At 38.3% G+C, this 22,361-nt stretch overlaps 1 protein-coding gene and 1 pseudogene across 1 annotated transcript, besides 29 other annotated features; one reads left to right on the top strand and one right to left on the bottom strand.

Moving 5' to 3' along the window:
* On the bottom strand, positions 7,956-8,649 carry PPIAP85 (peptidylprolyl isomerase A pseudogene 85; annotated as a pseudogene).
* Positions 10,163-12,065: a promoter, noted in NCBI's record as "-1887 to +24 promoter fragment". NCBI's record gives the evidence for it as "EXISTENCE:reporter gene assay evidence [ECO:0000049][PMID:8895049]".
* Positions 10,163-13,758: a biological region, named in NCBI's record as "CYP7A1 5' regulatory region". NCBI's record gives its function as "regulatory_interactions: CYP7A1".
* Positions 11,610-11,831: an enhancer, noted in NCBI's record as "-432 to -220 enhancer fragment". NCBI's record gives the evidence for it as "EXISTENCE:reporter gene assay evidence [ECO:0000049][PMID:1312351]".
* Positions 11,670-13,758: a matrix attachment site, noted in NCBI's record as "HindIII/XbaI fragment containing multiple regions that bind nuclear matrix". NCBI's record gives the evidence for it as "EXISTENCE:protein binding evidence [ECO:0000024][PMID:10869351]".
* Positions 11,729-11,757: a protein binding site, noted in NCBI's record as "-313 to -285". NCBI's record gives its function as "positive regulation of promoter activity" and the evidence as "EXISTENCE:protein binding evidence [ECO:0000024][PMID:9013589]".
* Positions 11,747-12,147: a DNaseI hypersensitive site, noted in NCBI's record as "DH1; the nucleotide coordinates are approximate for this feature". NCBI's record gives the evidence for it as "EXISTENCE:in vivo cleavage assay evidence [ECO:0001075][PMID:9013589]".
* Positions 11,790-11,813: a protein binding site, noted in NCBI's record as "site III". NCBI's record gives its function as "mediates repression of transcription by thyroid hormone" and the evidence as "EXISTENCE:protein binding evidence [ECO:0000024][PMID:11773435]".
* Positions 11,885-11,915: a protein binding site, noted in NCBI's record as "-157 to -127; contains site II". NCBI's record gives the evidence for it as "EXISTENCE:protein binding evidence [ECO:0000024][PMID:10744771]".
* Positions 11,892-11,919: a protein binding site, noted in NCBI's record as "site II". NCBI's record gives the evidence for it as "EXISTENCE:protein binding evidence [ECO:0000024][PMID:10777541]".
* Positions 11,892-11,919: a protein binding site, noted in NCBI's record as "site II". NCBI's record gives the evidence for it as "EXISTENCE:protein binding evidence [ECO:0000024][PMID:11773435]".
* Positions 11,896-11,917: a response element, noted in NCBI's record as "BARE-II". NCBI's record gives its function as "mediates inhibition by vitamin D" and the evidence as "EXISTENCE:reporter gene assay evidence [ECO:0000049][PMID:19106115]".
* Positions 11,896-11,917: a protein binding site, noted in NCBI's record as "BARE-II". NCBI's record gives the evidence for it as "EXISTENCE:protein binding evidence [ECO:0000024][PMID:19106115]".
* Positions 11,906-11,926: a protein binding site, noted in NCBI's record as "nt-138". NCBI's record gives the evidence for it as "EXISTENCE:protein binding evidence [ECO:0000024][PMID:11518759]".
* Positions 11,971-11,986: a protein binding site, noted in NCBI's record as "site I". NCBI's record gives its function as "negative regulation of promoter activity" and the evidence as "EXISTENCE:protein binding evidence [ECO:0000024][PMID:14960721]".
* Positions 11,971-11,988: a protein binding site, noted in NCBI's record as "BARE-I". NCBI's record gives the evidence for it as "EXISTENCE:protein binding evidence [ECO:0000024][PMID:19106115]".
* Positions 11,971-11,988: a protein binding site, noted in NCBI's record as "BARE-I". NCBI's record gives the evidence for it as "EXISTENCE:protein binding evidence [ECO:0000024][PMID:19106115]".
* Positions 11,976-12,008: a protein binding site, noted in NCBI's record as "-67 to -35". NCBI's record gives its function as "positive regulation of promoter activity" and the evidence as "EXISTENCE:protein binding evidence [ECO:0000024][PMID:10403849]".
* CYP7A1 (cytochrome P450 family 7 subfamily A member 1) lies at positions 12,041-22,026 on the top strand. The gene is made up of 6 exons (NM_000780.4): positions 12,041-12,185; positions 13,735-13,975; positions 15,014-15,600; positions 17,568-17,698; positions 19,676-19,851; positions 20,430-22,026. Exons 1-6 carry the CDS (start codon positions 12,106-12,108, stop codon positions 20,727-20,729), a joined length of 1,515 nt encoding a protein of 504 aa, NP_000771.2. The 5' UTR covers positions 12,041-12,105; the 3' UTR covers positions 20,730-22,026.
* Positions 12,163-13,749: a silencer, noted in NCBI's record as "intron 1 silencer fragment". NCBI's record gives the evidence for it as "EXISTENCE:reporter gene assay evidence [ECO:0000049][PMID:10869351]".
* Positions 12,358-12,758: a DNaseI hypersensitive site, noted in NCBI's record as "DH2; the nucleotide coordinates are approximate for this feature". NCBI's record gives the evidence for it as "EXISTENCE:in vivo cleavage assay evidence [ECO:0001075][PMID:10869351]".
* Positions 12,404-12,439: a protein binding site, noted in NCBI's record as "HNF-1a/CDP site". NCBI's record gives the evidence for it as "EXISTENCE:protein binding evidence [ECO:0000024][PMID:10869351]".
* Positions 12,410-12,439: a protein binding site, noted in NCBI's record as "CDP site 1". NCBI's record gives the evidence for it as "EXISTENCE:protein binding evidence [ECO:0000024][PMID:10869351]".
* Positions 12,679-12,712: a protein binding site, noted in NCBI's record as "CDP site 2". NCBI's record gives the evidence for it as "EXISTENCE:protein binding evidence [ECO:0000024][PMID:10869351]".
* Positions 12,710-12,735: a protein binding site, noted in NCBI's record as "C/EBPa site". NCBI's record gives the evidence for it as "EXISTENCE:protein binding evidence [ECO:0000024][PMID:10869351]".
* Positions 12,737-12,763: a protein binding site, noted in NCBI's record as "CDP site 3". NCBI's record gives the evidence for it as "EXISTENCE:protein binding evidence [ECO:0000024][PMID:10869351]".
* Positions 13,197-13,597: a DNaseI hypersensitive site, noted in NCBI's record as "DH3-DH4; the nucleotide coordinates are approximate for this feature". NCBI's record gives the evidence for it as "EXISTENCE:in vivo cleavage assay evidence [ECO:0001075][PMID:10869351]".
* Positions 13,511-13,540: a protein binding site, noted in NCBI's record as "C/EBPa-2/CDP site". NCBI's record gives the evidence for it as "EXISTENCE:protein binding evidence [ECO:0000024][PMID:10869351]".
* Positions 13,511-13,540: a protein binding site, noted in NCBI's record as "CDP site 4". NCBI's record gives the evidence for it as "EXISTENCE:protein binding evidence [ECO:0000024][PMID:10869351]".
* Positions 13,605-13,634: a protein binding site, noted in NCBI's record as "CDP site 5". NCBI's record gives the evidence for it as "EXISTENCE:protein binding evidence [ECO:0000024][PMID:10869351]".
* Positions 19,247-20,446: an enhancer, noted in NCBI's record as "BRD4-independent group 4 enhancer chr8:59404317-59405516 (GRCh37/hg19 assembly coordinates)". NCBI's record gives its function as "activates an origin of replication core promoter dependent on BRD2, P300/CBP, MED14 and CDK7 cofactors, and independent of BRD4, by STARR-seq in HCT116 cells {active_cell/tissue: HCT116}" and the evidence as "EXISTENCE:reporter gene assay evidence [ECO:0000049][PMID:35650434]".

Here is a 22,361-nt window from a genome sequence, read left to right as displayed (position 1 = left end):
TTAAGAATAAAAGAGGGTATATTATTACTACTGACCTTACCCAAATAAAAAGCATTATAAGGAAATGCTAAGAACAGTTGTATGCAAACAAATCAGATATCCTAGTTAGATTAAATACATTTCAGAAAGACACAAACTATCAAAATTAACTCAAAGGGAAATAAAAAAACCTCAATAGATCTATAACCAAAAAAGTTAAAATAGAATTTTAAAAAATCCTACAAAGACAACTTCAGACCAGCTTCACTGGTCAATTCACCCAAAGAGTCAAAGAAGAGAGAACAGGCCAGGCGCGGTGGCTCATGCCTGTAATCCCAACACTTTGGGAGGCCGAGGTGGGCGGATCACCTGAGGTCAGGAGTTCGAGACCAGCCTGACCAAAAAAAAAAAAAAAAAAGAGAGAGAACACTAATCCACTAATCCTTTGTAAATTCATCCAAAAATTAGAAGAGGAGGGACTACTTCTCAGCTCATTCTATCAACCCATTATTATCTGATATTCAAATGAGACAAAGATATTACAAGTAAAATTAACTACAGACTAATATCCTTTATCAACATAATGCAAAAATCTTCGACAAAATACTAGCAAACCAAATCTGGCAACATATAAAAGCATCATACACCATGACCAAATGAGATTTACCCCAAAATGCAAGGGTGTTTTAACGTACAAAAAATCAAACAATGACATACACCATGTTAAAACAGTAAGGAAAAAACCCACTTTATTATCTCAATAGATGCAGAACAAGCATTTGACAAAAAATCAACACCCTTTCCTGATAAAAACACTAAATAAACTAGAAAAAGAAGAGAATTGCCTCAATATGATTGAAGGAAATCTGTGAAAAACCCACAGCTAATAATTTAATGGTAAAAGACTGAAAGCTTTTCCTCTAAGACCAGGAATAAGACAAGGACATCTGCTCTTGCCACTTCTATTCAACATTGTACTGGAAGTTATATCTAAGGCAATCAAGCAAGAAAAAGAAATAAAAGGAAAATAAAATTATCTTTATTTTCAGAATACCTAATTTTACATATTAAAAATCCAAAGGAATCCACAAAAAAAGCTTATAGAGCTAATAAGTTCACCAAAGTTGTAGGATGTAAAATCAACGTCCAAAAATGAGTTTGTTTCTATACAGTAGCCATGAAAAATCTGTAAACAGTTAAGAAAAACAATTCCAGTCCGGCGTGGTGGCTCATGCCTGTAATCCCAGCACTTTGGGAGGCAGAGGCAGGCAGATCACAAGGTCAGGAGATCGAGACCATTCTGACTAACATGGTGAAACCCCATCTCTACTAAAAATACAAAAAATTAGCTGGGCGTGGTGGTGGGCGCCTGTAGTCCCAGCTACTCAGGAGGCTGAGGCACGGGAATGGCGTGAACCCAGGAGGTGGAGCTTGCAGCGAGCTGAGAACACGCCATTGCACTCCAGCCTGGGCGAAGAAGCGAGACTCAGTCTCAAGAAAAAAAAAAAGAAAAGAAAAACAATTCCGTGTACAATAGCACAAATAAAAATAAGATACTTAGGAATAAATTTAACAAAAGAAGTACAAGACTTGTACACTGAAAACTACAAAACATCAATGAAATAAATTACAGAAGACCTAAATAAATACAAAGGCACCCATGTTTATGGATCAGAAGACAGTATTGTTAGGATGGTAATACTCTCTTTCCAGATTGATCTAGAGATTGGGTGCAATCCCTATCAAAGCTCCAGTTTCCAGTTTTGCTGAGATTGACAAGCTGATCCTGAAATCCACATGGAAATGTAAAGTGTCCATAATCCAGAATATTCAGAACAATCTTGAAAAAGAACACATTGGGCCAGGCGCAGTGGCTCACATCTGTAATCCCAGCACTTTGGGAGGCCGAGGCAGGTGGATCATGAGGTCAGGAGTTTGAGACTAGCCTGACCAACATGGTGAAACCCAATCTCTACTAAAAATACAAAAATCAGCCGGGCATGGTGGTGTGTGCCTGTAATCCCAGCTACTCAGGAGGCTGAGGCAGGAAAATCGCTTGAACCCGGAAGGGGGAGGTTGTGGTGAGCCGAGATCATGCCACTGCACTCCAGCCTTGATGACAAAGTGAGACTCTATCTAAAAAAAAAAAATGGGAGGACTTACACTTTCTGATGTTGAAGGTTACTAACAGCTTATAGTAATGAAAACTTTGTGTTACTGGCATAAGGATAGACATATAGATCAATCGAATAGAATTGACAGTCCAGAAACAAACACATGCATTTATCAACTGATTTTCAATGAGAAAGTTAAGAGATTTCCATGGGGAAAAGAATAGGTTTCCGTGGTGCTGGGACAACTGGATATCCACATGCAAAAGAATGAAGTTGGACTACTCCCTCAGCTCATATGTAAAAATTAACACAAAATGAATCAATGAACTAAGTGTAAGAACTGAAACTATAAAACCCTTAGAAGAAAACATAAGCATACATCTTCATGACCTTGGATTAGACAATGTTTTTTAGATATGACACCAAAAGTCTAAGCAGCCAAAAAAAAATAGATAAATTGCACTTCATCAATGTTAAAAACTTTTGTGGCCAGGTATGGTGGCTCATGCTTGTAATCCCAGCACTTTAGAGGCCAAGGTGGGCTGATCACTTGAGGTCAGGAGTTCGAGACCAGCCTGGCCAACATGGCAAAACCCCATTTCTACTAAAAGTACAAAAATTAGCCAGGTATGGTGGAAGGCACCTGTAGTCCCAGCTACTCAGGAGGCTGAGACAGGAGAATCGCTTGAACCCAGGAGGCAGAGGTTGTTGTGAGCTGAGATCGCGCCACTGCACTCCAGCCTGGGTGACAGAGCAAGACTCCATCTCAAAAAATAATAATAAAAAATAAGAATAAAATAGATAAAAAGGCTGGGCACAGTGGCTCACGCCTGTAATCCCAGCACTTTGGGAGGCTGAGGTGGGTGGATCACTTGAGGTCTCAGGAGTTGGAGACCAGCCTGGCCTACATGGTGAAACCCCATCTCTACTAAAAATACAAAAATCAGCCAGGTGTGGTGTTATGTGCCTGTAATCCCAGCTACTTGGGAGGCTGAGGCAGGAGAATTGCTTGAACCGGGAGGTGGAGGTTGCAGTGAGCAAAGATTGTGCCACTACACTCCAGACTGTGTGACACAGCAAGACTCCGTCTCAAAAAAAAAACCATACATACATACATAAAAACTTTTGTGCATCCAAGGACAGTATCAAGAAAGTGCAAAGACAACCCACAGAATGGGAGAAAATATGTAAAAGTCTTATCTGATAAGGGTCTAATTGCCTGGAATAATCTTACAACCCAACAATGAAAGAGACAGAAACCCAGTTTAACAAAATAAGGAAAGGACTTTAATAGACATTTCTCTAAAGAGGATTTACAAATGGCCAATAAACACATGAAAAGATTTTTAACATCATTAGTTATTAGAGAAATGTAAATCAAAGCCACAATGGGATACAACCTATTACCCTCTAAGATGGCTATAATTTAAAAAACAGACAACAATAAGTGTTGACAAACAATATGAAGAAATTTGAACACTCCTTCCTCATTCATGGGAAAGTGAAATGGTCCAGTCATTCTGGAAACCAGTTTGGCAGTTCCTCAGAAAGTTAAATATAGTTACCATAAGACAGGCAAGTACACCCTTAACTACATAGTCAGAAAATTTAAAACATACTTTTACACAAAAACCTGTCTGCAAATGTTCACAGCAGCACTATTAATAGCAAGTAAAAAGTGAAAACGACCCAAATATCCATTAATTGATTAGTAAATAAAATGTCCTATATCCATTTAGTGAAATATTATTCAGCCGTATAAAGGAATTAAATACTGATAAATACTGCAATGTAGATGAGCCTTGAGAATATTATGCTAAATAAAAGAAGTCAGATGCAAATATTTATACATAATAGAGTCATATCATTTATATGAAATGTCTAGCACAGGCAAATCTATAGAAACAGAGAGTATATTGGTGATTGCCAGGGATTGAGGGTAGAGAGTGGCTGCAAATGGATATAGAATTTCTTTTGGGGATAATGAAAATGTTCTGGAATTGGATAGGGGTGATGGTCACACAATCTTTGAATATGCTAGAAATTTTGAATTCTACTCTTTAAAGGGGTGAATATTATGGTACTTGAATTTTATCTCAAGAAAAATGAATAAAAAGTAACTAAATCATTGAAAATATCTGATGGCATGGGGTTTGTGGGGTAACTGGCATTCCACAGTGATTTTCAAAGGGCTTGTGCTGTTTTCATTTTGCTTTGTTTTAGTTATGGAGCCCTTCCTTGAAACAAACTTCATACTACAGTCCTCTTTCATGAAGCAGAAGAGGGCAGTGGGCAGAGCCTCTCCTTTGGCTTTCTCCCCCACCACAACAGGGAGCCCTGGAGCTCTAGGAGAGAAAATCTGAAATATAAAGGGCATGCATGTGAGCTGTGGAGTCCCAGAGCCCTGGGTTTGCATCCTAGATCTGCAACTCCCGTGAATTGAGTTTTGGGAAGTTGCTGAAACTCTGACCTCCTGTTTTCTCATGGTATTGTTGTAAGGGTTAAATGAGACAATGTATGTGAAGACCCTGGCCCCACAGTAGAGGCTCTGCCACACATTTCAGCGATACTTTCCTCATGTATTTCCAAAAATGTTTTCTCATTTTCTTAAAATGTCAGAAAGAAGACAACAGAACTTACTTGCCTTTTACAACAGAACAAATGGAGCAAGTCAGAGGTCAAGGTGCTAACATTCTTCATGGTTCCTCACCACCTTTTGTTCTGTTAGCCTATAGGGAAAAGTCTTCTTTCTCATCTCATTATCTGCAGGGGAAAATAGTACTTCAGCAAGTGATCCAGTTGAAGAACATCTCCAGGGCCATTAACATACAGAGGTTTGTTCTACTCTCTCTGTGCTCCATGTCTAAGAACCTCAGCCTTCCTCCTAGGAGCTAGGGAAAGTCAGGAAAGTGAAAATAGTACCCCAGCTAATGAACTGCCCTGTGCTGGCCTGAGAAGACAAGACCAGCTTCCTCAATGGCTCAAGATTTGGTTTCCTTCAATATGTCCTTTTGGAAATATGTCCATGACATCGGAGAGATAAAAGGAGCCAGGATTGCTCACATTCAGGAAAAAAGCTCCACTATCTTTCTCTCTCTCCCTCTTTCTCTCCCTCCCCCTGACTGCCCTCTTCTCTATCTCTCTCTCTCCCTGAGCTGGCAAGGTTAATTGGTCGCAGCAAGTCTGATGAACCAGTTGGGCTTCTTGGACTAAGTTTCAGAAGGCTGAGACTGGGATGAAACTTATCACAAAAGTAAAGGAACCACTTAGCCTTCTTTGATTCCAGGCCCCCAAGCCTGTCTTTAACTTGGATGAATGGAGTTCTTCCTGTGCTACAGCACCGCATAGTAGGGGCTGCCCTGGGCCTGAAGCCAGAGCTTCACCATATTCAGTCATCTGTACATTGAGGCAACAGTGCCTGCTTCATGGTGCTACCCTGTGGATTAAATGAAGCAAGTTTTTGATGATCTTGACACTGAATATTGATGCATTGGTCAGACTTTTTCTGATAGTAAAAAATGGTGGTTTCTTGTTGTCAGAAATCAAATCAATATATTTGTTCTCCTGTTGATTAGCTATGTCCCCTAGAGGGCAGCGACTTTGCCTGTCTTATTTATCTCTGCATCTCCAGCACTTAAAAGGTGCCTTGCATAAGGTACATATTAAGTTCATATGAATGAATGAATGAAATGCATATGATTTATTCATACCCAGTTGGTGGTGTGTTTACCCTTTCCTAAACCTGTAGTCAGATGGCCTTTGAATCCCCTGTACTTCTTGTGAGGTACTGTGCTGTAAAGGTGGACTATCACACTTCAATTCAGAGCAATCTGGGCTTGAATCCTGGATTTGCCAGTTTATTAACTATAGCAAACATTTTTGAGCATACATTGTGCCAAGTGCTAGGCTAACTGTCTTACACACATTGTCTTATTTCGTCTTAATATCTATGAGTCATGCACTATAATCATCCCCATTTTACAGATAAGAAAGCAAAGACTTGGAGAGGAAAAGCATCTTGTTCAAAGGTAAATACTTAATGGCCAAGCCAACATGCAAATCTAGATTTAATTGCAGCTTCCTCTTCATCTACCATTCGAACTAATTCAAGCTATGTAATATTTCCCACTGAACCTTCTTGCCTCTACTTCCTCATCTTTAACATGGTCAAAATACCTGTCCTGCCCAAGTTAGTTATTTCATTAAAGTAGAAAAATACAAGAGAAGCTTTTAAAATGTGAAAACCTCAAAATGAATGTAAAAATTATGATGATTCCTTTAGAATTTGTCAACACCTTCTTTTTCTCTACTCCTGCTAGGCATTTACAATCTCAAAACCATGTATTTAAGATGCAAAACTATATTTGTATTTGCCATAACTGGTTTCTTTCCCTATGGCTTCATGAAAATGTGGCTCGAATGTGTTTATTATGAAAGCCCCAAATTAATCACGACAAGACTTCACCAGCCCATTCCACAATAGACTCCCATTACTTTGCCCTGACTTAGAAACCTCATATACAGTCTTGATTCAGTACAGCTCTGTGATGCTCTTGGAAAATGCAAAGTGCTTTCTTAATTGAGGCAATCTGTGTCCCACTACAGAGAGGTGGTTTAACTTGTGAATTCAGGAAAGCAACTGGTTTGACTCAATTTTTTGGCCATGTTCTCAGTTCATTTTATTTAAAGCAATCAAACTGATGTGTGTGTTCTATGTTCATTGAACCATAGTGGGTTTACATAAGCTCATAGTTTTAGTTGTTCTTTTTACATTCTACTCCTCTGGTTTGAGCTTCTATGTTTTGTATATTTCCATTCATGGGGTTGAGATATTTGATTCAGGCTTTATATTTTCTGAGGCCCGGAATAAGTATTTCTTCCACACTTTAGGAAGTGTGGTCCTCTTCACTACTCTATGTAAACAAGAGGAAACTAACAGGTTGTGGTGGGATTAGAATTTAGTTTATTATTAGAACTCAGTTTATTTTGCCAGGTTTTCTGGCAACTTTACCTCTTTTCTTTGTCAGGGCACTTACGCTTTCTCCTGACGCAGTGGAAACTCCACAGGGCCAGGGCTCAGGGCTTTCTTGCTCACATTGTCTCCACTGCTGACTCAGAGCCTGGCATGTAGTAGAGGTACAGCATGTGTGTGTGTGTGTGTGTGTGTGTGTGACACAGACAGAGAGAGACAGAGAGAGTGAGACACAGAGAGAGACAGAGAAACAAGAGAGACACACAGAGAGAAAGATGGTGAGACAGAGACATAGAGAAAGAGAATAAATAAAACTTTACCAGCCGAAAAAAAGAGAAGAGAAAAGCAGGCAAAGGACGTGCCATTGAGCTAGCATTCATTCAATAACTGATGCACCAGGCGCTGTGCTAAAAACACATCCAGTTGTCATAAAATCCATTCACTCATCAGGAAATCTTTTAGTATTTCCTTACAGTCTATTAATAGTTTTGACAGCTGTAACAAGCATATGAATTTCCACCTGTTGGATTAAAAGCAGCACATTTGGGCTGTGATAAGTACCATTTGTGGACACATGACAGCAGCAAGAAGTGACATCCTGAGAAGGAAAAACATAAACTACGTATAATAAGAAAAATGAATAAATATGAATATTTAAGACTCTGCTTTTCTGGGTGTGTATGTTTCCTGTGCTTTTGTTGTATAGAAGAGGGGTTGTAAGTGTGGGAGTAAAAATATTAGGGTAAAGGAAATCTAGATAAACACTGACCAATCTACATTTGAAAGGAGCTTGTGATGTTCTGAGAGGGGGTGAGGAGGGTTGTGAATATATTTCACAGTTTTTTTTTTTTTTGACAGTTGTTATTTAGTTTTTATTTAGCTTTATATAGTTTTATTTCATAATCATAAACTTAACTCTGCAATCCAGCTAGGTATGGAAGGGAATAGGGAATATATAACACCCAAAGGAGCTGTAGCAAGAGCACAAAGATTATAGGATAACGTGAGCAAATGGGGTGGAGGGGTGCTCTCACAAGGTCTGTGGTTAGGATAAAACACAAGTCAAATTTATTAGAGTTGTGCACAGTCAGCAATGGTGATCTTGCTGGTTTTGCCCTTCCTGGACCCAAAGCTCTCCATGGCCTTCACAATACTCATGACTTCTTTCACCTTGCCAAAGACCACATGCTTGCCATCCAGCTACTCAGCCTTGGCAGTGCAGATGAAAAACTGGAAACCGTTTGTGTTGGGTTCAGCATTTGCCATGAACAACACAGGACCTGCATGCTTCAGGATGTAGTTCTTGTCATCAAATTTCTCCCTGTAGATGGACTTACCACCAGTGCCATTATGGCATGTGAAGTCACCACCTTGACACATAAACCCTGGAATAATTCTGTAAAAACAGGAACCCTTATACCCAAATCCTTTCTCTCCAGTGCTCAGAGCATGAAAGTTTTCTGCTGTCTTTGGAACTCTGTCTGCAAACAGCTCAAAAAAGGCATGACCCAAGATGTTAGATAATACAGTGGAGTTGACCATGGCTGATAGCAGGGGGCTCCGGGTGTCATCAGCATCTGCAAAGCCATGTATTTACCATTTTTGGAAGCCTTTTAATTTCAAAATGATTTTAGATTCACAGGAAGTTGCTAAGATTGTACTGAGAGGTTCCCCCATACCCTTTCCCTTTAAAAAAAAAAAAAAAAAAAAAAGTTGGTGTCTGTCTATGTGGCCCAGGCTAGAGTGCTAAGACACAGGGCACCAAGTCCCTAGGCTGCACACAGCAGGGGGACCCTGGGCCTGGCCCAAGAAACTATACATTCCTCCTGGGAATCTGGGGCTGTGATGGGAGGGGTTGCCATGAAGACTTCTGACATGCCCTGGAGACATTTTCCCCATGGTCTTGGGGATTAACATTCAGCTCCTTGTTACTTATGCAAATTTCTGCAGCTGGCTTGAATTTCTCCTCAGAAAATGAGATTTTCTTTTCTATCGCATTGTCAGGCTGCAAATTTTCCAAACTTTTGTGCTCTGCTTCCCTTATAAAACTGAAGGCCTGGCCAGGTGTGGTGGCTCACGCCTGTAATCCCAGCACTTTGGGGAGCTGAGACGGGCGAATCACGAGGTCAGGAGTTCGAGACCAGCCTGGCCAACATGGTGAAACCCTGTCTCTACTAAAAATACAAAAAGTTAGCTGGGCATAGTCATGGGTGCCTTTAATCCCAGCTACTTGGGAGACTGAGGCAGGAGAATCGTTTGAATCCAGGAGGCGGAGGTTGCAGTGAGTCGAGATCACACCACTGCACTCCAGCCCTGGTAACAGAGTAAGACTCTGTCTCAAAAAAAAAAAAAAAAACAAAAAAAACTGAATGCCTTTAACAACACCCAAGTTGCTTCTTGAATGCTTTGCTGCTTAGAAATTTCTTCTGCCAGATACCCTAAATCATCTCTCTTAGGTTCCAAGTTCCACAAATCTCTAGGGCAGGGACAAAACGCTGCCAGTCTCTTTACTAAAACATAACAAGAGTCACCCTTGCTCTAGTTCCCAAAAAGTTCCTCATCTCCATCTGAAACCACCCCCGCCTAGATTTCGTTGTCCATATCATTATCAGCATTTTGGTCAAAGTCATTCAACAGGCCTCTAGGGAGTTCCAAACTTGCTCACATTCTCCTGTCTTCTTCTGAGCCCTCCAAACTGTTCCAATCCCTACCTGTTACCCAGTTCCAAAGTCGCTTCCACATTTTTGGTTATCTTTTCAGCCGTGCCCCACTCTACTGGTACCAGTTTACTGTATTAGTCGATTTTCATGCTGCTGATAAAGACATACCTGAAACTGGACAATTTACAAAAGAAAGAGGTTTATTGGACTTACAATTCTACATCACTTGGGAGGCCTCACAATCATGATGGAAGGAGAAAGGCACATCTCACATGGCAGCAGACAAGAAAAGAGCTTGTGCAGGGAAACTCCTCTTTTTAAAACCATCAGATCTCATGAAATTTATTCATTATCATGACAATAGCACAGGAAAGAACTGCACCCATAATTCAGTCACCTCCTACCAGGTTCCTCCCACAACACGTGAGAATTCAAGATGAGATTTGGATGGGGACACAGCCAAACCATGTCACACTACCATGCCTGACTTCCTTTCCATTTTTGTATATTTGCTTGTTCTTCATTTGCCCGAGAAGTAACTCTAAAGGGCTGTATTATTTGGATATTAGATTGGCATTTTATCTGACTGGGATATCTTGCTGTGATTGTCCATGTATAAGATCAGCTTTTCTATAAGCCATATTTTTAAAAAGATATATTAATTTTTTAAAAATCCACCTGTCTAAATAAATGCACAAAGCCCCCCAAAAACCTAGATTCTAAGAAAAATCTATGTACTGCCATACAATGATTGATATTAATATTTATGGTGATAAATTACACACAAAAAATGTGTGATCTCTGTTTAAACAGGCAAAAACAAAAAACACATGAAATAAATCTATGGCATCTATAGCCAAAACTGGAAACAACCCACATATCCATCAATAGGAAATCAGTTAAATAAATTATAGTACATTTATCCAATGGAAGATTAAGCACATATTCAATATAATTATTTATACACACATATAGATACACACATGTATAAATATAGAGAATACTGTGGGTGTATGTGTGTGTGTGTTTATATACATATATATACACACACAGTACTGTTGCCTACCTTCTTTTGTCTTAATTCTGTGAACTCTCATTCACTCTGCTTCAGTAGGATACATCCTTCTTTTTGGTTCTTAGACTCACCAAGTTGATCCTTGACTCAAGACATTGCATTTGCTGCTTCCTCTTCCTGGAATATCCTTCCTTCTGATATTCACATGAGTAGTCTCTTCTTGTCATTCAGATCTCAAATGTCACAATTTCAGAGAGCCCATCTCTGATCATCATATCTAAAGTTGTCCTCATTCCCCCATAGCTTTCTATACCATGTTTTATTTTTTTCATAACATGTATTTTATTACTCCTTTCTCCATTGGAATAGAATCTCCATTAGATTAGGAAATCTGCCTATCTTATTAATGCCTGCAACTGGAATACTTTTGAAGAGTTCTTGGCACGTAATAAATACTCAACTAATATTTTTGTGTACACAGAAATAAAGTTTGGAAGAACAGATGCCAAATTGTTACTAGTGGTTACTTCTGAGTAAAGGAGTAGCATGGTAGGTAAATTATTAATAGATGTTCACTTTCCACCAAGATATGTTTTAGTTAGTCTTAACTTACTTGAAATGAAATTTATTACTTTAATAATTAGAAACATTGATAAACATTTTAGTCACAAGAATGATAGATAAAATTTTGATGCTTCCAATAAGTTATATTTATCTAGAGGATGCACTTATGTAGAATACTCTCTTGAGGATGTTAGGTGAGTAACATGTTACTATATGTAGTAAAATATCTATGATTTTATAAAAGCACTGAAACATGAAGCAGCAGAAATGTTTTTCCCAGTTCTCTTTCCTCTGAACTTGATCACCGTCTCTCTGGCAAAGCACCTAAATTAATTCTTCTTTAAAAGTTAACAAGACCAAATTATAAGCTTGATGAATAACTCATTCTTATCTTTCTTTAAATGATTATAGTTTATGTATTTATTAGCTATGCCCATCTTAAACAGGTTTATTTGTTCTTTTTACACATACCAAACTCTTAATATTAGCTGTTGTCCCCAGGTCCGAATGTTAAGTCAACATATATTTGAGAGACCTTCAACTTATCAAGTATTGCAGGTCTCTGATTGCTTTGGAACCACTTCTGATACCTGTGGACTTAGTTCAAGGCCAGTTACTACCACTTTTTTTTTTCTAATAGAATGAACAAATGGCTAATTGTTTGCTTTGTCAACCAAGCTCAAGTTAATGGATCTGGATACTATGTATATAAAAAGCCTAGCTTGAGTCTCTTTTCAGTGGCATCCTTCCCTTTCTAATCAGAGATTTTCTTCCTCAGAGATTTTGGCCTAGATTTGCAAAATGATGACCACATCTTTGATTTGGGGGATTGCTATAGCAGCATGCTGTTGTCTATGGCTTATTCTTGGAATTAGGAGAAGGTAAGTAATGTTTTATCTTTAAATTGCTCTTTGATTCATCCATTTAATTTTTTTACCTTCATTTTTATACAGTAAATTTGGTTTTCTATACTTACACATATTAGCATTATCTTCCTTATTTTTTAAATGAAAAATTTGATTTGAATTTTTAAAGTAATATCTTTTTTACTATATCTCACAAGACATATGACAGCTTCCCTTTTTAGTATTGGCATATACCGATGGTAATATATAAATGTATATTGGTGTTAAACATAACTGACAGAAATTGTATAAGGTCTCTATGTACATTTATATGTGTATCTAAAGAGGAAGCCCAGATTAGTAAGGATACAAGTAGCAAGTGGGAATCTACAATGGAAAGGATTGCTTTCTCTCACATGGCTTCAATAGATACTCTTGTTAAATAAATGTTCTCTTTTAAGCTCATTCTTGTGCATCGCATAGACTCAGCCTAAGCCTGAACAAGAGCATAGAGCCTGAGCTGATCATTCTATTACTGTTTTTAAATAAATGTTAATCAACTGTGGTGAATTGGGAAAGTTTGCTGAGTGTATGTGACATCGATTTCATTTATTTACAACTGGTTCAAGAATGCAAGAAAAACAAATACAGTCAGATCCAGAACCATAGTTTATTTAACTTCTAATTGGCTCAAGGAGTAATTGTGGGGAGGCATATAGATATTCTCTGCTATGTCAATCTCAAAAAGAGAAAATAACCCTAACCATCTTTCAGCTTTGTAGATTGCTATGTGTTTTCTGCCTTTTGCAGTTTCTTTCAGGCCTGATAGTTTTTACTTTTAATTAAACTACTTATCTTCAAACTAAGAAAAGAAAGGTAATTACTTTATACTGTATTATTCTATCAAGAGGTACAGAAGTTTATGTTGGAAAATAAGTTTACATGTTCTAATAAAAACATTTTAAAGGAGCACTGAATTACAATAGATGATTCCGTCAGTGTTTATCTTACTCAATTTCATTTTATAATAAGCTGATTTCTCACATGAGATTCTTCTTCTCTGAAACCATCCTTATAGAATATAATATAGATATCTTTAAACTAGGAATATTTTCAAAACCTCAGTTCTGAAATCCTCCCTTATTCAGTGATCTGTGTCTTTAAAGAAAATAATCAAAAGAAACATTTTGAGATATTTAGAAAAATGATGCTTAGCAAAGTGATAAACACTAGAATGTAGTTTTGTTTCCGCACTGACAACAAGAATCTTGTTGGTCTTGTAAATCCTTTTGCCTGTATCACTGGGAAAAGTGATGAGCACATAGTAGACGGGTGCTTGTTGAATGTGTATATGGACGGATGCATGAATGGATGGATTTAGTAATCCTTTCCACCAACATATCATGTTACTAGGTTAATATAACCTATTACTGTAGTAAAAGAGCAGGGCCCATCCAACAAAAGAAATATCTATAAACTATAGGGTTTCAAAGTTTGAAGTCAGTGGGAAAAATTTTAAAACCTGATGTAAGTAAAAACCCAAAACTGTAATCATCCATGTCTATCATACACTTGTGTCTGACAGGCAAACGGGTGAACCACCTCTAGAGAATGGATTAATTCCATACCTGGGCTGTGCTCTGCAATTTGGTGCCAATCCTCTTGAGTTCCTCAGAGCAAATCAAAGGAAACATGGTCATGTTTTTACCTGCAAACTAATGGGAAAATATGTCCATTTCATCACAAATCCCTTGTCATACCATAAGGTGTTGTGCCACGGAAAATATTTTGATTGGAAAAAATTTCACTTTGCTACTTCTGCGAAGGTAAGCAGTTTTACATTTATATACCATTCTGTTTGTCTTCTACCTTTTTATGTGCTTGTCTATTTAGAAATTTTGATGTACTTAGATTTTATGATAAAGGTGTTGAAGAGAGTTATCCTTATGTGGAGATTCTTAGAAACATAAATAAATTATACGTAGCTTCTTAGTAATAATCATTTAGAAAGTCAAAATAGGTATAGATTTGTCATTTGTTGACGAGCTAATGAGGGTGAAATACAGATTAAATGCTCTACTGAGACAGGTGGCACTGTACGAATAAGATAGATAAAAATTCATCACATCAGCAATGTCTATGCAAGAATGCAAGTGACGGAAACCTAACATTCAGCAGTTGTCTCACCACACTTGTGCCACACAGTGTTTCATTTTGATAAGGAATTGGCAAGATATTTTAACATCATTTAGATGTAATAAAAGAAGATCTGTTACTGAGAAAAAAAACCAATAACTACTTACTTACTGCAAATAAATATTAGCTTTGGTCTTTGTGACTAAGTAGCTTAAAGTTTGGTTAAAATACATCTACAGCTGGACACAATGGAACACACCTGTAGTCCCTGCTATTTGAGAGGCTGAGGCAGGAGGATCGCTTGAGTCCAGGAGTTTGAGGCTGCAGTGAGCTATCATTGTGTCACTGCACTCCAGCCTGGGTGACAATGTGAGACCCCATCTCTAAAAGAAAAAGAAAAAGAAATCTACAAATAATATAAAAGATAACTAATGATTTTAAAACATTATCAATTAGTTTATGTGCAATAGCTGTAAATAAGTGCAGTAGCATAAGAAATAAGACATAGATGACTTGAGTGATCCAGGGGAGTGCCACTGAAGTTGGCTTTAAAGGAAAGGTACAGTTTGGTCATTTATTTGTAAAGTGCTATGAACTTGTACAAGGGAAAGCCAATTTCCCGTGTTTACCAAGTAAGGAACTATGAAAGTATCTAATCCGTTTTTCAGTCATTTACTATGACTAGGTCAGGTTTAACTTCTTTTTCTGCATGTTTTATTTGCTATCAGGCATTTGGGCACAGAAGCATTGACCCGATGGATGGAAATACCACTGAAAACATAAACGACACTTTCATCAAAACCCTGCAGGGCCATGCCTTGAATTCCCTCACGGAAAGCATGATGGAAAACCTCCAACGTATCATGAGACCTCCAGTCTCCTCTAACTCAAAGACCGCTGCCTGGGTGACAGAAGGGATGTATTCTTTCTGCTACCGAGTGATGTTTGAAGCTGGGTATTTAACTATCTTTGGCAGAGATCTTACAAGGCGGGACACACAGAAAGCACATATTCTAAACAATCTTGACAACTTCAAGCAATTCGACAAAGTCTTTCCAGCCCTGGTAGCAGGCCTCCCCATTCACATGTTCAGGACTGCGCACAATGCCCGGGAGAAACTGGCAGAGAGCTTGAGGCACGAGAACCTCCAAAAGAGGGAAAGCATCTCAGAACTGATCAGCCTGCGCATGTTTCTCAATGACACTTTGTCCACCTTTGATGATCTGGAGAAGGCCAAGACACACCTCGTGGTCCTCTGGGCATCGCAAGCAAACACCATTCCAGCGACTTTCTGGAGTTTATTTCAAATGATTAGGTGACTAACGCCATATCCATTTCTTTTTTTTATTTTAGTAGAAAGTAGAAATTAAACCACTTTAACTTTAAGAAAAAAAGCCTCGTAGTACTTTATCATGCCGTCAATCAAGAACGTAGCACTAATGCATGTTAGTGTTTAACATATATGAGTTCATTCAGTCCGCAGAAAAACATAGGCAGCTATGGCTGGTAAAAGTGTTTTATAGAAACAAAGACAGTCCCAGAGAAAGAGATGTCACCCCAAGCCACGGAGCTTGTATGTGCTGGTGTTGGGTCAATTCAGGCTGCCTGGCCCAGAGCCCTTGCTCTTAACCCCATACTGTTCTTCACGACGCCAACTCCACTCCATAAATGCAGTTTTCATAATCATTAAATGTATTTAAGTGATTACTGATTTATGGACAACAATCAGGGCGGTGACTATGCCTTACTTATTTGTTCATTCACAGTTTGTTTTCACTCAGTTAGGAATTGCTGTTCTTCTGTTTATTTGACCAACTATGAGAGCTATGAATCAATCATAATCTATTATTATTGATAAGAGACTTAGCTAGGTTGTGCTTTTTAAAACTGTATGTAACAGAAAAAAACTGTAATAACATATGTTTTACATAACATGATTTCTCTCCAAAGTGTTAATCTTTTGGGAATTTGAAATTAGAATGGTCTATTGAATTATTCCAATTAAATTAGATATTTAGTATCATGTAGACACAAAATTGCTCCTCCATAGGATTGGGAATGCCAAATTTCTATTGATGGCTGATGACTTTAGGTCTTATAAAATATTTTAAAACTTAATTTCAGATGTGAGAACTTATTACTAATTTGTCACAAATGTTGACTATCTTCCAAAGTTATTACTTGAAAAAGCACATCCAGAATAAATTCACATATTTACAGCAGGCATACGCATCAATTTAACATCATAAAGGAAATTGTAGCCATATTTTATGATAGTCTTACAAATACTTATCAAACATTTTGAGACTCAACTTACTGTAATTTTGTTATGTAGCTCCCTAGACATGTTTAATCCTTGTTAGAAACACTTATTTATAAAAGCCCTGACCAGGCCGGGCGCAATGGCTCACGCCTGTAATCCCAGAACTTTGGGAGGCCGAGGCGGGCGGATCACAAGGTCAGGAGATCGAGACCATCCTGGCTAACACGGTGAAACCCCGTCTCTACTAAAAAACATACAAAAAATTAGCTGGGCGTGGTGGCGGGCGCCTGTAGTCCCAGCTACTCGGGAGGCTGAGGCAGGAGAATGGCGTGAACCCGGGAGGCGGAGCTTGCGGTGAGCCAAGATTGCGCCCCTGCACTCCAGCCTGGGCGACAGAGCAAGACTCCGTCTCAAAATAAATAAATAAATAAATAAATAAAAATAAAATAAAAGCCCTCACCAAAGTTTAACTTTTATGTAGCAAAGTCCCATTTTTTAATTATTATTATTATTTTTTTTTTCGAGACAGAGTCTTGCTCTGTCACCAAGGCTGGAATGCAGTGGCACGATCATGGCTCACTGCAACCTCCACCTCCCGGGCTCAAGCAATTCTCCTGCCTCAGCCTCCCGAGTAGCTGGGATTACAGGATCCCACTGCCATGCCTGGCTGATTTTTGTATTTTTAGTAGAGACAGGGTTTCGCCATGTTGGTCAGGCTGGTCTCAAACTCCTGACCTCATGATCCGCCCGCCTCGGCCTCCCAAAGTGCTGGGATTACAGGCGTGTGCCACCACGGCCGGCCGCAAGGTCATTTTAAGGCAACAATTCTTACTAATATCCAAGGACATAAACCCAATTACAAATGGAGTAAATGCAAACAGGAATATCCCTTTCCCTCCTCCCCTGGTATCTTCACCATCTAGTTAAAAGAAGGGGGAAAGGCCTATTTGTTTGCAGATCTCAAAGTATGGAAAAAGTTTATTTTCTGTACATACATGTTTTCTCTTACCTTTTAATAGGAACCCAGAAGCAATGAAAGCAGCTACTGAAGAAGTGAAAAGAACATTAGAGAATGCTGGTCAAAAAGTCAGCTTGGAAGGCAATCCTATTTGTTTGAGTCAAGCAGAACTGAATGACCTGCCAGTATTAGGTGGGTATACTTGTTATGTTGAGTTTCATTTTCTATGTCCTACTACTTTAACAATAATGACCAACATAAATTATATACTTACCGAATTCTAGGCATTAAACTAAATATTTCATATGAGTTTTCTCGGTTAATCCTCACAACTGTCCTGTGACTTGGGACTGTTACTATTTATTTGTACCAAGTGAGGAAACTGACACCTAGAGGTTAAGCTGCAGCCAGGGTAGAATCAAATACATCATTATGTGGCATCCTATTCTCTCAACTACCACCCTGCACTGCCACACCATGTTTCTCATATTCCTCTTACCACTAATCTGATGGTTAATGGAAGCATATTAGTCATTTTCATAAAATAAAGGAGGGAAAAGAACCATTAAGAAACCACAGTTACCTGCATGGATTGAGTGATGGATTTGAAAGTGCTTTGATTTTTCTTTGTTCTGCTTTTCTATATTTTATGGAACTATAACAATATGATATTTTTATTTTTATTTATTTATTTATTTTTGACAAAGTCTTGTTCTGTTGCCCAGGCTGGAGTGCAATGGCGCGATCTTGGCTTACTGCAACCTCTGCCTCCTGGGTTCAAGCCATTCTCCTGCCTCAGCCTCCCAAGTAGCTAGGATTACAGGTGCACGCCACCACCCCTGGCTAATTTTTGTATTTTTAGTAGAGACGGGGTTTCACCATGTTGTCCAGACTGGTCTCGAACTCCTGACCTCAAGTGATCTGCCCGCCTCGGCCTCCCAAAGTGCTGGGATTACAGGCATGAGCCACCGCACCCGGCCAACAATATGATATGTTTATAGTAATAAAGTTTTCTTTTTTTGGTTATTTTCTTTAAGGAGGCAAGAAGCTTAGGTTCCATGCTGGGGCTGACTTGGGAGACTTTGGACATGTCAGTACTCTTTTGGGGGCCTTACTTTTCTTATCTGTAAAATAAAATGCTAACATTCTGGAATTTTATACACAATCATGTGATGAGCACCCTAAAACATGACAGTTAAAGGATACGGCTAAAAGGTCAGGCTGGACCTCTCGCGAGCTCTCTATATTTCAGCCATTTTCAGGTTGGTTCTTTTTGTCCCTTTATGCCTTTACCGGGCAGCGGTGATCGCCACGCAGCATCAGATAGTATATGGATAAAAATAGGTTCTTGTAAATGTTGAACTGAAGCTGCATTAAACACCTAGAAAAAACATATGTATGTGTCAGTGCTATCAGTATATTCAATCTCAGAAGTCCTCAGTATATTAAATCTCAGAAGTGATAAACTTTGAATAATTTCTATAAAAATGTATTACTGATTTTTCCAGTTTTATTACATTACTCTTCTATAAAATGATGGAATTTTGTTTCCCAATTATGACCAAGATGATTATCTCTTAATCAAAAGATTATTATTAACTCAGGATCAGATTTAAAGATACATTCAGGCCAGGCACGGTGACTCACACCTGTAATCAAAGCACTTTTGGAGGCTGAGATGGGCACATTGCTTAAGCCTAGGAGCTCAAGAGCAACCTGGGCAACATAGCAAAACCCTGTCTCTGCAAACAATAAAAAGAAGAAAATTAGCTGGGTATGGTGGCACATGCCTATAGTCGCAGCTACTCGAGAGGTTGAGGTGGGAGGATCAGTTCAGCCTGGGAGGTTGAGGCTGCAGTGAGCCAGGATCATGCCACTGCACTGCAGCATGGGCAACAGAATGAGACCCTGGCTAAAAAGAAAAACAAAAATAAAAAAATTCAGACACAGTTGAATCATTGATAACAGCATAGTGGTAACAGAAAGAAAGTTTGGGAAATTTTTATCTGATCAGCTTCCCATACCCTGTTCATCTTTGTGTTATGCACTGCCAGGCTGTCTGTAGTTCAGACTCTATATCATATGACCTTCAAACACTTGGTTTGTTCTTCTCTTCCTTCCTCCCTTCCTTCTTTCATTTTTTATCTTTTTTTCTTTTAAAATGTTTAGATAGTATAATCAAGGAATCGCTGAGGCTTTCCAGTGCCTCCCTCAACATCCGGACAGCTAAGGAGGATTTCACTTTGCACCTTGAGGACGGTTCCTACAACATCCGAAAAGATGACATCATAGCTCTTTACCCACAGTTAATGCACTTAGATCCAGAAATCTACCCAGACCCTTTGGTAAGTGCCTGCCCATTGAAATTCAATATCCAGGTGATAGCTACCTAGATCTAAATAAAGAGGAAATTTACAATGGTAGAATTGATTTTATCATTGTAGTCACAGGAATTGTCTGCTTAATTGTGTTAAATATTCATATATTTTGGAAAATTTAGATAGTGGTCTGAATTTTTCATTTTAGTCCTGATATTTGCCATCACACAGTCTTTGCTAGATTATATTTGCAGTCATGATAATAAACCTGCCACTTTTTTTTTCTTAAAAAGCACCTCCTCCCAAATCCAGGAAATTGGAGGCTAATATATTGATTATTCTAGTTTCTTCTGGGAACCCTTCTCTCTCTAGCTCTGCCTGACTAAGGAACTAATCGTTCAAGCAGGATAGGAGGTATCACAAGGCTTCCTTAGCTCATTAAGCTCCTGTTCCTTATTACTTTCTGATTCAATGTGGAGTATTTGCTAAATCACTAATGGGGTAGAATTAAAAAGAAAATTACTCTTTGGAGCTTCCAGGTTTAGAAAGAGATAAATTTCTTTAAAACTAGCTTAAAGGCGGTTTTCTTTGTATTTTTATTGCAGACTTTTAAATATGATAGGTATCTTGATGAAAACGGGAAGACAAAGACTACCTTCTATTGTAATGGACTCAAGTTAAAGTATTACTACATGCCCTTTGGATCGGGAGCTACAATATGTCCTGGAAGATTGTTCGCTATCCACGAAATCAAGCAATTTTTGATTCTGATGCTTTCTTATTTTGAATTGGAGCTTATAGAGGGCCAAGCTAAATGTCCACCTTTGGACCAGTCCCGGGCAGGCTTGGGCATTTTGCCGCCATTGAATGATATTGAATTTAAATATAAATTCAAGCATTTGTGAATACATGGCTGGAATAAGAGGACACTAGATGATATTACAGGACTGCAGAACACCCTCACCACACAGTCCCTTTGGACAAATGCATTTAGTGGTGGTAGAAATGATTCACCAGGTCCAATGTTGTTCACCAGTGCTTGCTTGTGAATCTTAACATTTTGGTGACAGTTTCCAGATGCTATCACAGACTCTGCTAGTGAAAAGAACTAGTTTCTAGGAGCACAATAATTTGTTTTCATTTGTATAAGTCCATGAATGTTCATATAGCCAGGGATTGAAGTTTATTATTTTCAAAGGAAAACACCTTTATTTTATTTTTTTTCAAAATGAAGATACACATTACAGCCAGGTGTGGTAGCAGGCACCTGTAGTCTTAGCTACTCGAGAGGCCAAAGAAGGAGGATGGCTTGAGCCCAGGAGTTCAAGACCAGCCTGGACAGCTTAGTGAGATCCCGTCTCCGAAGAAAAGATATGTATTCTAATTGGCAGATTGTTTTTTCCTAAGGAAACTGCTTTATTTTTATAAAACTGCCTGACAATTATGAAAAAATGTTCAAATTCACGTTCTAGTGAAACTGCATTATTTGTTGACTAGATGGTGGGGTTCTTCGGGTGTGATCATATATCATAAAGGATATTTCAAATGATTATGATTAGTTATGTCTTTTAATAAAAAGGAAATATTTTTCAACTTCTTCTATATCCAAAATTCAGGGCTTTAAACATGATTATCTTGATTTCCCAAAAACACTAAAGGTGGTTTTATTTTCCCTTCATGTTTTAACTTATTGTTGCTGAAAACTCTATGTCCGGCTTTAACTATCTTCTCTATATTTTTATTTCATTCACATTAATGAGAAGAGTTTTCTCAGAGATTAAAAAAGGTAGTTTTTCTGTCATTGTTAAATACACATTATCACTGAAAAAATGTAGCTTTTATGTGATATGTTTTAAAGTTAAAACTGGATGGAAATAGCCATTTGGAAGCTTTGGTTATGAAACATGTGGAGTGTATTAAGTGCAGCTTGACATTATGTTTTATTTAAATGCTTTTTATCGCTAAATGACTTGCAGATGAAAAAAACTAAGGTGACTCGAGTGTTTAAATGCTGTGTACAACAATGCTTTGATAAAATATTTTAAGTATGAGTTATCAGCTCTATGTCAATTGATATTTCTGTGTAGTATTTATATTTAAATTATATTTACCTTTTTGCTTATTTTACAAATATTAAGAAAATATTCTAACATTTGATAATTTTGAAATGATTCATCTTTCAGAAATAAAAGTATGAATCTATGTGTATTTATTTATTTATTTATTTATTTATTTAGAGAAAGAGTCTCACCCTCTCGCCAAGGCTGGAGTGCAGTGGTGCGATCTCGGCTCACTGTAACTGCCACCTCCTGAGTTCAAGTGATTCTCATGCCTCAGCCTACCGAGTAGCTGGGACTACAGGCACGTGTCACCATGCCTAGCTAATTTTCATATCCTTAGTAGAGACGGGGTTTCACCATGTTGGGCAGGCTGGTCTCAAACTCCTGACCTGGGGTGATCTGCCCGCCTCGGCCTCCCAAAGTGCTGTGATTACAGACACGGGCCACCACACCTGGCCGAATCTATGTGTTTTAAAT

The sequence above is a fragment of the Homo sapiens genome, chromosome 8 (genome assembly GCF_000001405.40).
Source record: "Homo sapiens chromosome 8, GRCh38.p14 Primary Assembly".
Taxonomy (NCBI): Eukaryota; Metazoa; Chordata; class Mammalia; order Primates; family Hominidae; genus Homo; species Homo sapiens.
Note: the sequence above shows the minus strand (reverse complement) of the source record. Positions and strands in the feature narration are given on the sequence as shown.